The following is a 15,871-nucleotide window of genomic DNA, read 5'->3' as shown; positions in this document are numbered from 1 at the left end:
CTTTGACTCTGTTTCCATGGCAACACACTTGACTAATGACTTTCATATCCCTGGCACAGTAGGATAAAGTGCTCAGTTACACCTAATTCGCATTCTGGAGCTGTATCTCCACCACCTTCTCTCTCGCTCGCTCTAGCTCTCTCTCTTGTCTTTGTTCTCTTGCTCTCTTTCTCAGTTATCTAATGTTTAAATATGAAAAACAAAGCCAGCATATCTCCCTCACAGTGAGAGTGATCTAGCAATGATCTTAGCTTCCCTTAACTTGTAATAAAGAAGGAATGTGTTTGAACATGTTTGTACTTTATTTATTACTAGTAACCAGTGACCTGCAACCACCTCCTATTGTCTTGACATGCCAGTGTGTGGAGCATCACAGGAGGCTGAAAATCACTGGTCTTGTGGGAACTGAGCCTCAAGTTCAGGCTGCTGCCTCCTGCCGGGCAGGTTGTGCACCGCATGACTCCAGAGGGCGCCACTCGCACAGTCTACGATGGGGAAGGAACCCCACCCCCCGCCCCACTGGAGTTGTGTAATCAGGTGGTCTTACCCAAGTTGGACTTTGGGCCCAGCTTGAAAACCTCCTAAACACCCACTTTGAGCAGGCTAAGCTTCCATATCGCAACATTCCATCTGGCCAAACTACATGGACTCTTTTCTGCAAGGGAGTTTCTAACCTGACTTCTGACTTTGTAGGGAAGAAGAGAAAAGCAGGAAGGTTGATTTCACTCTAACCAGCTTTTAAGATGACTTGGTTTCTCATGAACCTGGGATCTTTAATATGGAGGAAAATCCAGCTCTAGAGGGAGAAGAACGAATGGTGAGAAGCAGGTCTCCACCCTCTTGCTTTCTATTGTCAAACAACAGGTCCCCAAAACCTAAGACCGATCACATGGAAATGACCCTATGCCAGTGCATCTGCAGATGTTGGAGCCATGGGGACCCTGAAGTGGGGGCAGTGCCAGAAGCCCATTCCAGGAACAGGAATTAGTTGCATCCCTGCTCTGGTGACAGTGGGTGATGTGGACAATAGCTGGCTCCAGTAGGCTGGGAGGGATGAGGGATATCTTGACTTTGTCAGGGGCTCTCCTATCCATGAAGCCTCCTTTCCCGAAAATGTGTTAGAGGGTTTATCAGTGGGGTACATCGGGCTGTCCTGTGAGAATGCCTCCCATTCCCCCCATAAATGAGCCCAGATGTTTCGGGCCATCTCCTTGACATAGCTTCGTTGGAGTTTCCATACAGAAAATGGCTACTCCCTGCCTGAGAAAATTTCCCAGCTGTCATGGCTGCTTCCATGTTCCTGACAAGCTGCTCCAAAAGTTATTTCAAGATGGAAGCAGCAGAAAGATGGATTAGCTCTGTCAACGGGGAGTCCTGAAGTCCTGCCATTCACTGAGCAAAGAAGCGTGTGCCTGCCATGGGCGGCTGATAAGGGAAGTGGACACAGGATAAACTTCAGCCCAGCCAGCTGACAAAGCTCAAATGCAGTCTGAAAGAAAACAGCTACTCCTGGGCCTCTGGTTTTTCAAAGCAAAGACTGTGGGCTTTGTTCGATTACCAGGTTGTTACCATCAGCAGAAAGCTTGCCATTCTGAGCTGCTGCTGCCTTCTGCAGAGACAACAGGACCAAAAAGTATCTCTTATAAGACAGTTTACTTGTAAGGAACCAGAAGCACAAGTTGCCACAAGAAATGCTCAGTCATCTCCTATGCCTCACGTCTCTGCCCCTCACCCCTAAACCATAAACCCCTCCACTCTTGTTCATTTTAAAGAGCAGAGCAGGGTTTTTACATAATGGACTTCCTAATGCATATCTCAGAACTGTGTAACTGCTAACACTTACTGGAGAGTTCAGTGTGTGCTTAATAAGAACAGTAAGAGCTTCACATGCATTCCCTCATTGAATCTTTACAACACACTGCTGTAATAACACAGCATTTTGCAGATGAGGAAACCAAGATGCAGTGTGGTGAGGTGCCTTGCCTAAGCACAGCAGACAGGTGGTAGCTCTGGGAAGTGCTACCAGGCTGGTCCTCTTCTGTTAAGTGCACTCCTTCTCTTGCCTTTTCTTACAAAAAAAAAAAAAATGTTGTGTTTACAGCTTGCAAAGGCTTTAGAATCTCTTGCCTGCATCACAGGTTTGGAGAAGCACAAGTTGCATGTGCTTCCATGCAATAAAATAATAACCAGACACTAATAATTCCCATGATTCCTTTCAGAAATCCCTGTGTCTGTGTTTGTCCCTTTTGAAAGGATTGTCCAGTTTGCTTGTTCCTATCTTATCTTGGTTAATTGAGCCAGATTTTACTTTTTCCTGGCTCCTTGAAACTCTCCCTGGCTAGATAAGCCTCAAGGGTTCTCTCTCCTTGCTATTAGTCACAATTTCCTAATGTTGAGCTTCTGCCAGGAAGACAGAGGAGGCAGCTCCAAACGCAAATAACTAGTTTGTGTGTGGGACTTTGGCAAAGTGTTGGTCACTTACAAAGGCTACACACAATTGGCCCAAGGACAGCTCCATGTCATTTTCCATCACGATGGAAAAAAAAAGTCTGTGTTAAAGTTGCTTCAAAACAGCTAGTTCCTTAACTTCTGTGGGGATAACTGGGCAGACATCTGAAGCCAGTGTACTGGGTCTCCGCAGACCTCTGGCTCGTCCAGGGGCTTGCCCCATCAAGGCAATGCACGCAGCTGTTACCTAAAAAGAACTGAGGGTCCATTAGGAAAAGTCGGCCAACCGTACCAAGATTTGCAAATGAAACATGTTAATCTTGTGCCATTTCTTTAGCAAATATTCCACACCTTGCAATGCAAGGTCCAGAACCAGAATACAAAACTGCACATAAAACTGAATGAAAACTGTTATCGAAGACAGCAGTTTTGAATTCTTTAAGTATGTTTCTCAAGTGACCATTATTTTTAACAGACATAGAAACACAATAATTTCATTAATGGCTTTCTCCTTATCTCTCTAATAATAAATACCGTATTTCTGTATGCATTCATTCAACAAGTATGTCACTGAACCCTTACCATGCACTTGCAAGACAATACAGACACTAAGATAATACACTGAGCCCATTGAGGAGTCCACTGTCCCATCCCATGGGAGTGACACACAATATATCAGGAAAGACTGGCTAGAGTGTGCTACAGTAACAAACAATACCAACTTCTCCTCGGCCTAAATTAGCAAAGGTTCTTGCTCATGTTATGCACGCACTGTGGATTGGGAGGTGCCTAGGCTGATGGAGCAGGGGCCATCTTTAACATTGCTAGTCACCATGCTAGAAGAAAAAAGATCTCTCAAGGCTCTTGTACGGGCAATTAAATGTGCCATCCTAGAAATGAGACTCATCTCTTCTGCTCTCAATTTGTTGCCCAGTACTGGTTATTGGCCCCCATCCAACCACAAGAAGCCCAGAAAGAGCAATTCTACCTTACAATTAGATGGGAAGATGCATCAACATTTGAAGAGCAGCCCTAATGAGTACCACACACACATTAGTTGGTAATCATGATACCATGTGAAAAGTGCTCTAATAGAAACATGGAAAAAAGAGGGAGCAATAAACTAACAAACTTCACGGAGTCATTACAAAAGGTACCCAGAGGCAGTGGCATTGAGTTTACTCTTAGATGATAAAAAGGTGTTTTTCTGAAAATGCATATGGGCATTCTAAGAGAAAGAGTGCTGCAAAGACAGGGAACATGAAAAAAACACCTTTTATCTGAAGGCAGTGGAAGGAAACCCAGGGTGGCCAAAGCAACGAAGGTGAGAGAAGCAGAGAAAAGAGGGGCCCGTTGTGAAAGGCATTTGTCTTCTCAAGGAGTTCCAGTTCATCCTACAGACAACAGAGAGATAACAGAAATTATCCTACAAGGGACAGTCACACAGAGGTGCACCAGGAATATGTTTATTTGTTTTTCAGGAAGATAACACAGAAGACACATGGATGAGGAACTAGAAGAGAGAGAAAGGCCATTAAGAAGCCACGGCTGTCATGGAGGTAAAGATAGTGAAGCCGGAGCCAGACACTGCCAGGGGGTCTGAGATGTAAGCGGCATATCTGAGGAAGAACTGATAAAACTCTAATGTGGAAGCTGGTGACAAGGGAAACCTTCAAGACCACCGCAAGGCTGCTAGCTTAAGAAATGAGGTAAATGCTGAACACCATCCCCCAGGCAGGGATTCCGCTAGAGAATGCAGAGGTTTGAGGCAGGAAGATGATGAACTTAGGTTTGTACAGGTTGAATTTGAGGTGCCCCTGGAGATTCAGGTGGAGCTGTCCCTGGGAATGCAGGACCCAGGAGTCTAAGTTCCTAAGGCAATATAATTTGGAGATTGATGTAATTTGGGATTAATGCATGTAGTTGGCAGTTGAGCCCTAGTCATAATGACAGTACCTCTTGGAGAAAACACATGGAAACATTCTGAAGTGTAACTTGGTTAGTCACTACCTTTGTAAAACTAAGTATAAGAAGTTCAGGCCAAATAATTTGGGAATATCTCATCCGTTCAAATGCCCTGAGAAAATTACTTCTAAAATTTCCATTAACATCTACCCCCATCAGAGCAAAAATTTATACATCTGCTTCTTCTAAATTATCAACATTTCCACAGGCAACGTTGTGGAAACGTTGATAATTAGAAGTAGATGTATAAATTTCAGTCAGAACTGATTTCTTCTTTAACCTGAGGAAAGAATTTTGAAACTGAACTTCTAATGACAATTATAAGTAATCAATGCTATTTTTAAGGGACTAATCAAGTTTTCAGGGTTTCAGCAAATTTGGGTGGCCATCCATAGGAATTTTCATTAAGCTAGAGTTTGTTCTTTTAATTTTTAATTAAGTTGGCCTAAGTCAGCAATCAACGTTTCCATGTTACTATGTAATGTATAGGGTAGCAAGTACAAGAGGCTCCCACCAGCTCCAAAAAAGATCATTCAGAAGGCTGGAGGGAGAAATCTGAACTCTCATTGTCAGCGATCCAAGAGATAAACAGAGCATTATAAGTCGTTCTGAGGCAACGGGATCAGGGTTTTTTAAATAAATCATATTAATATGTGAATAAGACAAGCATTATTCTCTCTCAAAATTTAATAGAGCTTTTGTTTCTGCCAAGTAGGAAGGTGACTCTTGGGCTGTGCAGCTGGGGAATACGTCACAGGCTTTCTGGTCTTGCCTCTCACATGCACCCACTTTATAAGTTGCTAACCCTGACTCCCCGGGTCAGTCCACTTCTGCCAGGCAAACACAGACAGTTTCTAGTTGCAAGATATCCCCCATGGCAGAGAAAAAAAAAAGTTTCTTCTGGGATGCAGACAATCCAGGAATCAGTGATAATCCACTGACCTTTCTAGGAAGTAAGAGCAAAGAACAAACAGGTTAGATTCTGAGAAGCTGTTTCTAAGTTTGATGGTTTTTTTTTTCCTAAGCCTGAGGCACTGAGAAGGGTTCAAGCTTGTATTCTCCAGATGCAAGGTGAGTCTGTCTTTTTGCATTTTAAAAACTAGACATACTTTTCTCTTCTTCGCTAATCTATGTTCTGAAAAGCAGTGGCTTTCAAACTTTTGGCAACTGACCCACATTAAGAAATACATACATATTTCATTGACGCAGAAGTTTCTGCAACAATATTTGATTTTGCAGCATGAAACGTGGCCTGATATGTTCTAGTCTGTTCTATTTCATTTTAAAATGTCTGCTGGGTCCTAAATGATTCATGACCCCCTAATTGATTTTGCCCCACAGTTTGATAAATACTGTGATCTAGTATCTCTTCCCAAAACATACATTTAAACCTACATTGGGCTGGGCACGGTGGCTCATGCCTGTAATCCCAGCACTTTAGGATGCCAAGGTGGGTGGATCACCTCAGGTCGGGAGTTCAAGACCAGCCTGCCCAACATGGCCAAACCCCGTCTCTACTAAAAATACAAAAATCAGTCGGGCATGGTGGCTCATGCCTATAATCCCAGCTACTAGTGGGGCTGAGGCAGAAGGATCACTTGAACCTGGGAGGCGGAGATTGCAGTGAACCAAGATCGTACCACTGCAGTCCAGTCTGGGCAACAGAGCGAGACTCCGTCTCAAAAAAAACCTAGATTGAAAAAAGCAAATAACAGTGGTAATGCTTGATGCTCTTGATGTGCTCCATACTATTGACTCTGGGTCATCAATTCAGAACTGACTTTTTCCTCCCTCCCACTGATGTTGAGTAGATTCTGATGTGCCTCAACTCCGTGGAGCCCTCTGTTGCTTTTGACCAAAATTTTATCACCAGCTTATTTGCCATATTTGGCCTCTACATTCTCTAACAAACCGCCTCTGGTGACTTGAGGCTACAAGGCACTTGGCTTTGCTAATTCTAGACCAGCACTCTATCCAATAGAACTCTTAATAGAACTTTTTTTTTTTTTGAGACACAGTCTCGTTCTGTTGCCCAAGCTGGAGTGCAATGGTGCGATCTTGGGTCACCAAAACCTCCGCCTCCCGGGTTCAAGCAATTCTCTTGCTTCAGCCTCCCCAGTAGCTGGGATTACAGGCACGTGCCACCACACTGGGCTAATTTTTTGTATTTTTAGTAGAGATGGGGTTTCACTGTGTTAGCCAGGATGGTTTCAATATCCTGACCTCATGATCCGCCCGCCTCTGCCTCCCAAAGTGCTGGGATTACAGGCGTGAGCCACCAGGCCCAGCCAATAATAGAACTCTTAATAAGCATAATACCTGATACTTTTTCGATCCTCACCCTTCTCCCTCCCTCCGACCTCAAGTAGGCCCTTACATCTGTTGTTCCCTTCTTTGTGTCTGTATGTACTAAATGTTTAGCTCTCGCTTTTACATGAGAGCATGTCATATTTGATTTTCTGTTCCTATGTTAGCTTACTTAGGATAATGGCCTCCAGCTCCATTCATTTTGCTGCAAAGGATATGCTCTCATTCTTCTTTATGGCTACATAGTATTCCATGGTGTATATGTACCACATTTTCTTTATCCGGTCTACCTTTGAAGAGCATTTAAGTTGATTCCATCTCTTTGCTATTATGAATAGTGCTGCAATAAATATAATTTTTCATGATGATGGAAATGTTTGATATCTGCACTATCCAATATGGTGGCCACTAGCTACAAGTAGCTAATGAGCACTTGAAATGTGACTAGTGGGACTGAGGAATTGAATTTAAATTTTATTTAATTTCCATTACTTAAATTTAAATAACTACATGTTGTTAGTAGTTCTTATATTGAACAGTGCTGCTTCTAAACAAATCCTTAAAATATTTTCTCATTTCCTCAGTATATACCTCCCTTTTATTACTTGTGATTAATTATACTGGCATCACATTGACATGGCACACTTGATGTAGTTCATCCTTTAAAATCATGTCTAGCAGCAAAGATTCAATCTACAACACTCTCCATTTTCCTGCTCTTTTCATTTTTTAAATGAGTTTTTCTTTGTTTTATTTTCATCATGACTTCATCTTCCCAGGCCTTTCAATATCCTCTCAATTTCTACTTTTTTTTTGACGATTTGATGCTTTTTTCTTAATTTAAAAAAAAAGGCTAAAAGTGAATTACAGACTCAATAAGCATGCTATAGACTACTTGTAAACAAGAGATGGTTGAGACTGAAGTAATCAATCCCAAACGCCATTTGTCAGTGGTGAATGAAGAGGACTTATTAAAACTTTAGCTCTGGACTGTAGCTTGTTTGCATCTTATATGCTGGAAATGTGTATATTTTATATCTGAAATTAGAGAATACCTAATAGAGGAGCTTCTCTACTTGAACAGACTAATAAGCTGAGGAATTAATAGTTGAAGAAGAAGAAAAATTGTTAAGAAAGATACCTTCACCCTCTAGAGAGCTTTGGATTGACAGAGGTAGACAAATACAGGTAGAAGTAACTTCACTGTGAGGCAGACTTGCTATGAGATAAAACTGTCAGAGAGGTATACTCTTATTCAAGACAGTTTCAGAGAAGAAGAGCTCTGAGTTGTGAATGTGAGTATAGAGGGCTTCGTAGAAGAGGCTAGGTCTTATAGATTAGCATGTATAAATATTTAAGGGCTAGGAAGAGCATTACAGGCTGGAAACTATAGTTAAGGGAGATTTATAGCACATGAATGTGTGGCATATTCAAATAAGGCTAAGTTTCTAGGGTCTCAATGTCCCTTGTGTCTAATTGGGCCTGGATTTTAGGAAGATATATTCCTCAACAAATATTTACTTTGGATGGTAAGATCAACAAAACAGTTTAGAGCAGGGAGATCAGCTTCCGGATTGATAAAATCCAGGTGAGAGATAACAATGATCTAAAAGAGGAGGTGGCAAACTATGGCCCTGAATCAGACTGGAAGAGTGTTTTTATAAATAAAGGTTTATTGGAACACAGACATGCCTATGCACTTACCTATTGCCTATGGCTTCTTTCATGCTTTATGGACGGAGTTGAATAGATGCAACAAAGGGAGTGTGACTCACAAAGCCTAAAATATTTACTATCTGGCCCTGGCCCTTTCAAGAAAAAGTTTGTTGGCTGGGTAGAGTGGGCTCACATCAGTAATCCCAGCTCTTTGGAAGCCCAAGGCAGGAGGATTGCTTGAGGCTAGGAGTTTGAGATCAGACTGGGCAACACAGCAAGACCCTGTCTCTAAAAAGAAATTTTTTTAAGTAAAAATTTTTAAAAAGAAAAGGAATGTTTGCTGACCTCTAGTCTCAACTGGAGCAATGGGAGTAGAAAGGGTGGAATACATATCAGGGAAACAGTGGCAGTGAAACCCACATGATTCAGAGGCAGATGACATCATAGGATTGGTTTATAAGGAAGGTTGACATCAAGATATCTCTAGGGTCTCTAGCCTGGAAAACAATTCTGTTAACTGAAATGGGAACAAGGAGAAGACAGGCTAGGAAAACAGGTAAAAGGTTACATGTTAGAAGTGTTGTGTTAGGCCCCTGTGGTACACCAACATGAAGATAAATGTGTCCAACACTACAGCAAACAAGAGAGGGCCCAACCGAAGATGCAGGCTTGGGGCTGTATGCCCAGAGTTGAGAGATGATGAGAGAGGAGAGGAGAAACAGGAACAGGCCAGAAACCTGGAGGAAACATCTCCATAAGCAGCTGACAGAGAAAAGGGAACCAGTGAAGAACTCAACAGACAGGCAGGAACAAGACTACGGCATCATGGAAGTAACAGGAAGCAGCAAACATAAGAGAAAGAGGATGGCCACCAGCATGGAAAGCTGTCCTAAGAATGAGGAAGACTGAGATGAGTTGACTCAACACATTAGAGCATCACTGCAGGCATGTAGGGACAGAATCCAAGGAATGAACAGAAGGAGAGCAAGTCATAACAGCAAATAAAGATGAATCCTTTGAGGTCTTTTGCTATTGAAGAAAGATAAGGCCAGCAGGGAGCTAGAAGGGGAAGCAGGTCTAAGGGGGCTTTCTTGAAGAGAAGGGAGCTTTGCCAAAGCTGATTTCACACAACTGTCAGTAGACTCTGACATGAGGACGTTTCCCAGACTCTGCCTGGTTTACAAATTGCTCAGATGCCTTTGTTTGCTCTTTTAACGCATATATCAGCGTGATCATCTGAAAGGTTGATGCTTCCAGAGCCCAGGGACAAACCAACTGATATGCTCCTTCTAACTCCGTGTAAAAAACTTCTTAAGTTTTCTAAAAGGGACCAATTCCTTCTTAAGATAAAAGTTTATAAAAGAGCTTCATATCCTTTGAGTTCCAAAGGCGGAAAACGTGCTGATAAAATCTGAACGTTGGAGGAGAGGTTAGTATCTGGAGTCTGTGGCCTCCCCAAGCAGCAAATCCCCTCCTCCTAAGCCCAGGAGGTTTCTGTCCAGACTCAACTTTTTGGTGCTTAGGGTTCCAGCCCTCAAGAATGTGCCTCTTCCTCCGTGCTGCCTTTGACTTCCCAATTTAACATTCAATTGCAGATGGCGTTACTTTAGAGGCAGAGGAACAGAAATTTAAAACTTCCAGGTTTGGAGCCAAGTCCTAGATGTAAACCAGTGGTTTACATCCCAGGGGACATTTGGCACTGTCTGGAGACATTTTTGGTTGTCAACAAATGTGTGTAGAGGTACAGCAAAACATCCTACAATACACAGGACAACAATTCCACAACAAAGAATTATTCAGCCTAAAATGTCAGTAGCTCCATCCAATCTGCTCTGAGCCACCTATCCTATTGGAAAAGGTGTCATACATTAATTTCCACTAAAATATTAAAGATTGATATTGTATTAATGTGTTTTTTGGGCTGCGGGGTCGGGGGTAATCTTTGCAGTTGCAGACACTTTTGGTCTCCTACCTCAAATGAATTTCCTATTTCCTCTTTCCTAACAAACCCTCTTTATAGTTAAGGAAATCACCCATTGACAGCCACAAAGGATAACTAGTGCACAGCACTGCGGGCTTAGGGGTGAGAGGTGAAGCCAGCTGGGCTTCTGGGTCAGGTGGGGACTTGGAGAACTTTTCTGTCTAGCTAGAGGATTATAAACGCGCCAATCAGCATTCTCTGTCTAGCTAAAGGATTGTAAACGCACCAGTCAGCACTCTGTAAAAATGCAACAATCAGTGCTCTGTGTCTAGCTAAAGGATTGTAAACACACCAATCAGCACTCTGTAAAAACGCAACAATCAGCACTCTGTGTCTAGCTAAAGGATTGTAAATGCACCAATCAGCACTCTGTAAAAATGCAACAATCAGCACTCTGTGTCTAGCTAAAGGATTGTAAATGCACCAATCAGCACTCTGTAAAATGGACCATTCAGCGCTCTGTAAAATGGACCAATCAGCAGGATGTGGGCGGGGACAAATAAGGGAATAAAAGCTAGCCACCTGAGCCAGCAGCAGCAACCCGCTGAGGTCTGCTTCCACACTGCGGAAGCTTTGTTTTTTTGCTCTTCACAATAAATCTTGCTGCTGCTCAGTCTTTGGGTCCACACCACCTTTAAGAGCTGTAACACTCACCACGAGAGTCTGCGGCTTCAGTCCTGCAGTCAGCAAGACCACGAACCCACCAGGAAGAACAAACAACTCCAGAAGTGCCACCTTTAAGAGCTGTAACACTCACTGCAAAGGTCTGAGGCTTCACTCCTGAAGTCAGCACCACCACGAACACACCAGAAGGAATAAACTCCAGACACATCTGAACATCTGAAGGAACAAACTCTGGACACACCACCTTTAAGAGCTGTAACACTCACCGCAAGGGTCTGCTGCTTCATTCTTGAAGTCAGCGAGACCAAGAACCCACCGGAAGGAATAAATTCCAGACACAGGAATAGACATATAAACTAGGTTGGCCCAGTGAAACAAAAAGATTGAAGGAGTGGTGCTAATAAATGTTTAACAAAAGGTTGTCCAGGAAAAAATTATATCCATATATTTACATACATACATACATACATTTATTATAAATTTTTACTGACATAGTGGATGTGTAGAACCCAATATACAAATAAAATAAAACATACAATGCTCTTTATCGTACCACACTGCCAATCAATTTTTCACAGAATACTTTCATTGACTTTTGCATTCATGTATCTACAGCCAACCTATTGCTGCAACTGACAAATGAGTATAATACTGACACAAATGTGGGCTGTTTTTGTTTGTGTGTGAAGACATATGTCAGAACTCCACTCATCTGTCAATGATGTGAGTGACTTTGCTGAATCAAATAATACTAGGAGACTATTTCCTCTAATTTTTGGGCCATTCACAATGTAACAGTTTAGAGCCAAACCTTTGAAAGTTTAACCTGCATTATTTACATTTCTCCATCATTTTCTTAAGTTCAGATGATAAAATAAAATCAAAATCTGATTTATAGCAGTTGCCTATTTCTATGCTAGAAACACTACTACTATCATGGCTGATTTCAAGCCACTAATGTGATATCACTGAGTGTGGAGCTGGGGGAGACGTACAGCAGCATACCATTGTATACTGTCACCATCCTAAAAATATGATAGACTTTATATTCATGTCATGTCAAAGGCATAATAATAGGAAAATAATTAACAAATGATACATATTAAGTATTATCTTTATTTTAATGTAACTCATTTCATTGTTAAGTTATATAATTTAATGTTTAATAACAGCTGTGTTTAACAATCAGCTTGCAAAATTCCTGAAAATTTAACAGTCAGATCTCATCAGTCCATACAAGCCAATTCTAGTACACCAGTGATTAAGACAGAGAGTTTTCTCTTTCTCTCCTGCAGGGTGCAAATAAAGCCCGATTTCCACTGGCAGCTATTATAACCAGGAGAGGATCCTGCCTTTGGCTAAGGCCAGCGGAAAGGAAGGCAAATGGAGAGACACAAAGAGCCTGAATCTTTGAGCCATCACTCAGTTGCGATCAAACTGCCTGGAACCCACCCCACCCCGATCGCCTGCTCGGACAAAAATAACTGAAGCTCCCATTGTTCAAACCAGCTTGTGTCATGGTTTCTGATGTTTATAACTAAGACCAATTCAAACAATACAATATTTTAAATCTTTATTATTTTTTAAGGAAACAATAGCTTAAGGGTAAAAACTCATCTCTAATTGTAAAAAAAAATTATCTCTAATTGTAGGCTTTTGAAGTTAGGGTCGGTCAGTATTTTTAGATAGAATCTTTCAAAACTCAGGAGAGAGACTCAGCTTATTTCATGTGTATGATGAGGATGTCTCCTTTATTCTTTTTCCTGCTATCACACTTATGCCAGGCTTTCTTTCAAAACTTAACTCACCCAGCTCCTTGTCTTTGAAGCCTTCTTTTAATTCTTCTCCCACATTCCCCAAAACCAAGTCAATTCTCTCCCTCAGTGCCCTCATGTGTATAAATTGCATATCATATGGCATTTTTTTCATGTCTGTAAGACTCCCAATTTCCCAAAGGCGAGGTTACTGTCATTTTCTTCTGTATCTACAGTGACCATCACATGAAAAGTACTCCATAAAGGTGTTAAGGATGGAATTGTGTCCCCAACCCCAAAATTCATGTGTTGAAGCCCTCACCCTCGATGTGACCATATTTGGAGATAGATAGGGCCTTTAAAGAGGTAATTAAGTTAAATGAAGTCAAAATAGTGGGGCCTAGTATCATATGACCGATGTCCTTATAGGAAGAGGAGAGACACCAGGGATGTGCACACACAGAGGGGAGTCCATGGGAGGACGGGGCAAGAAGGTGGCTGTCCTCGAGCCAGAGAGAGGCCTCAGAAGAAACCCAACTTGCTGGCACCTTGATCTTGAACTTTCGGCCTCCAGAACTGTGAGAAAATAAATTCCTGTTGTTTAAGCCACCCAGCCTGTGGTATTTTCTTATGGCAATCCAGGCAGACTAATCCAACAAGAGTGCTGAATGAATGAAAGTCCTTTAAGAAAGAGAGTTCACGTGTATACATTAATCTGCTGCTATTAAGCACTTATTTCTCACTATCCCAAGAGTATGATTTTATGAAAACTCTGACAAATTAGTTTAATTTAATGTTTGTTAAGAAAAGGAAGAAAACATCAAAACAGTATATCTGTTTGCCATAGAAAACATAAAGAGATTTTCTCCATAAGTCCTTTTGTATCCCTAATTTATGATTTTTTTGTTTTTCGGTTTGTTTTAAAGAGAGTATGATGAACCCAGTGGAGACCTGGGAACTATACCCAAAAAGGAAACAGGACCAAAGAAAGAGGTTGCTTTCATCTCCCATGAAAGCAAGGCTGTTTTTGTTGATACATATGGAAAAAATCAGGGCCAATTATACATTGTGATTTGGCACCGAGGTTGCAGCCTCACCACAGGCCTTTACTTTCTTTCCACAGATTTACTGTTACAGCACACTGAAGTCCTGAGCCCTCCGCCACCCGCAAGGCCTTCCTCGGAGACAGGGACCTATCCAGAGATGTCTCTGTCACTGTCAGGATGCGCTGCAAGTGGACAAAGGGTTTCCTTCGTGTTGACCCTAAGAAGACCTCGACTTGATCAAGGAAGAACTGAGCATGGCTTGCAGTAGAGACAGTCACACACAGCTTCCCATGAATAGGTGTGGGCCTGATCATCTTAGCACCTTCTCTAGCCTTCAAGAAGCTCTCAAAATCAGGGCCATCTTGGTATTTCACTAGCTGCTTCTTTCTTTTTTTGATATTTTAAGAGACAGGGACTTGCTATGTTGCCCAGGTTGGACTTGTATTCCTGGGCTCAAGCCATTATCCTGCCCCAGGGCTCCCAAGTAGCTGGGACTACAGGCCTGTGCCACCTCACCCACCCTCGCTGTTTATTTCAATGAACTGCAGGTTGATGATGATCAATCTTCTTTCCTAATCTCCTGGTTGAAATTAGGGATATTCAGATTTTTTTGAAGTGGAGACTATCAGGGTGTTAGAAGACCTAGTTCTGAACCTGCTCTCTGCTAACTTACCATACGACTTTAGGCAAGTTGCTGCCCCACTAAGAACTTCAGTCTTATCTGTGAAATCAAGGGACTGGACTAAGTGGTCTCCGAGATCCCCTCCAGCTGAAACCATCTCCTGTACTGTCCACTATTATAGCAAATAACCACACATGGCTGATTAAATCTAAATTAATGAAATAAAAGTCAGAATGTAGTTCCTCAATCTCACTAATCATATGTCAAGGGCTTTAATAGCCATGTGTGGCCAGTGGCTGCCAGGTTGAACAGTGTAGTTCTCCTGCTCTCATTTTATTGATGATCATGGTTTCATAACAAAACCTGCCAGTTGAAGACCACTTTCACGTGTATGGTGCATTTTAATACACGCTTACATTTAACTACCCAAAATAGGCAAGAGAGATATTCTAATATCTGCCTTATCAGATGAGGACACTAACTCAAAGAGTAAATTACTTGCTATAGGGTCATACCACTAATGACTAAATGTAGTTTCCAAGCCCAGGACTCTCTAACACATGGTACAAAGTCATGACGAGAAGACATGTGCCCCCTGGCCAAAACTATTCAACCCATGGTAGCACCAGAACTGAGATCCAGGGATTAAGGGCTGATCTGGAGACCCTGTGCCTTGGTGTAGACCTTAGCTCAGCACATCCTAGCTGTGTGACCATGGGCAAGTTATTTAATATCTCTGGGCTCCTTTCTAGTCCTCTGTTAAATGGGAATGACCACAGGATCCACTGCTTATGAGAACTGCACAAGTAGATGCAAATAAAATGCTTTGCATGGGAGGTCAGGCACCTAACAATGGCTCACTTAGCATCGCCACTGCCTTCATTTTACTCCAGGCCCTTGCACGTCCTCACTGCCCCAAATAGACCGATGGCCCCTGCAGCCTTACTCCCAACTTGTCTAAAGAAAGTTGCTACTCTTAGGCATGGACAACAGCTTGCTTTTTGAAACCTACTGAGTAGTTTGGCCTCATAGCCTCCTGGGGCTGTGAGCACTCTGTATTAATTACAAGTTGTACAGGAAGAGCGCTTTCTGAGGGATCGGATTAACCCACCTGGGCAGTGTGCCATGAGCAAATGGCTTTTCCCCCTATAATTTTTTGAAACTCTTCAGTGGCAGGAACCCACCATATACCTGCCCCCAAGGAAGACCTGACCCACAGTAGGTGCCACCAGTGCATATGGCAAGAGGGGTGAGGAGGTGTAGGGGCCACCCCAAGAGCCTCCAGCACAGCACTCTGCCCTGGAGCAGGGTACAACAGACTGCAAAGCTGGCTCTGCCCAGACTAAATTTTATCTTCTGCAAAAGGCAAAGCAGACACACATATCCCCTGGTGATGGTTTTTCCTTCCCTGTCCCACCACAGTGTACTGTTTGAAAGAACAATATTTACACTGATGTTGCAGCAGGAG

The 15,871-nt window shown here is 42.4% G+C and overlaps 1 long non-coding RNA gene across 1 annotated transcript; it reads left to right on the top strand.

Moving 5' to 3' along the window:
- The first annotated feature begins 5,234 nt into the window (after positions 1–5,234).
- On the top strand, positions 5,235–15,239 carry LOC124901612 (uncharacterized). Its single transcript, XR_007060281.1, has 2 exons — positions 5,235–5,484; positions 13,859–15,239. It is a non-coding gene; the product is annotated as an uncharacterized LOC124901612 (long non-coding RNA).
- Positions 15,240–15,871: the final 632 nt, after the last annotated feature.

Source organism: Homo sapiens, chromosome 7 (genome assembly GCF_000001405.40).
Source record: "Homo sapiens chromosome 7, GRCh38.p14 Primary Assembly".
NCBI lineage: Eukaryota > Metazoa > Chordata > Mammalia > Primates > Hominidae > Homo > Homo sapiens.
The sequence above is the reverse complement of the archived record's forward strand: the minus strand, read 5'-3'. Positions and strand labels throughout refer to the sequence as shown.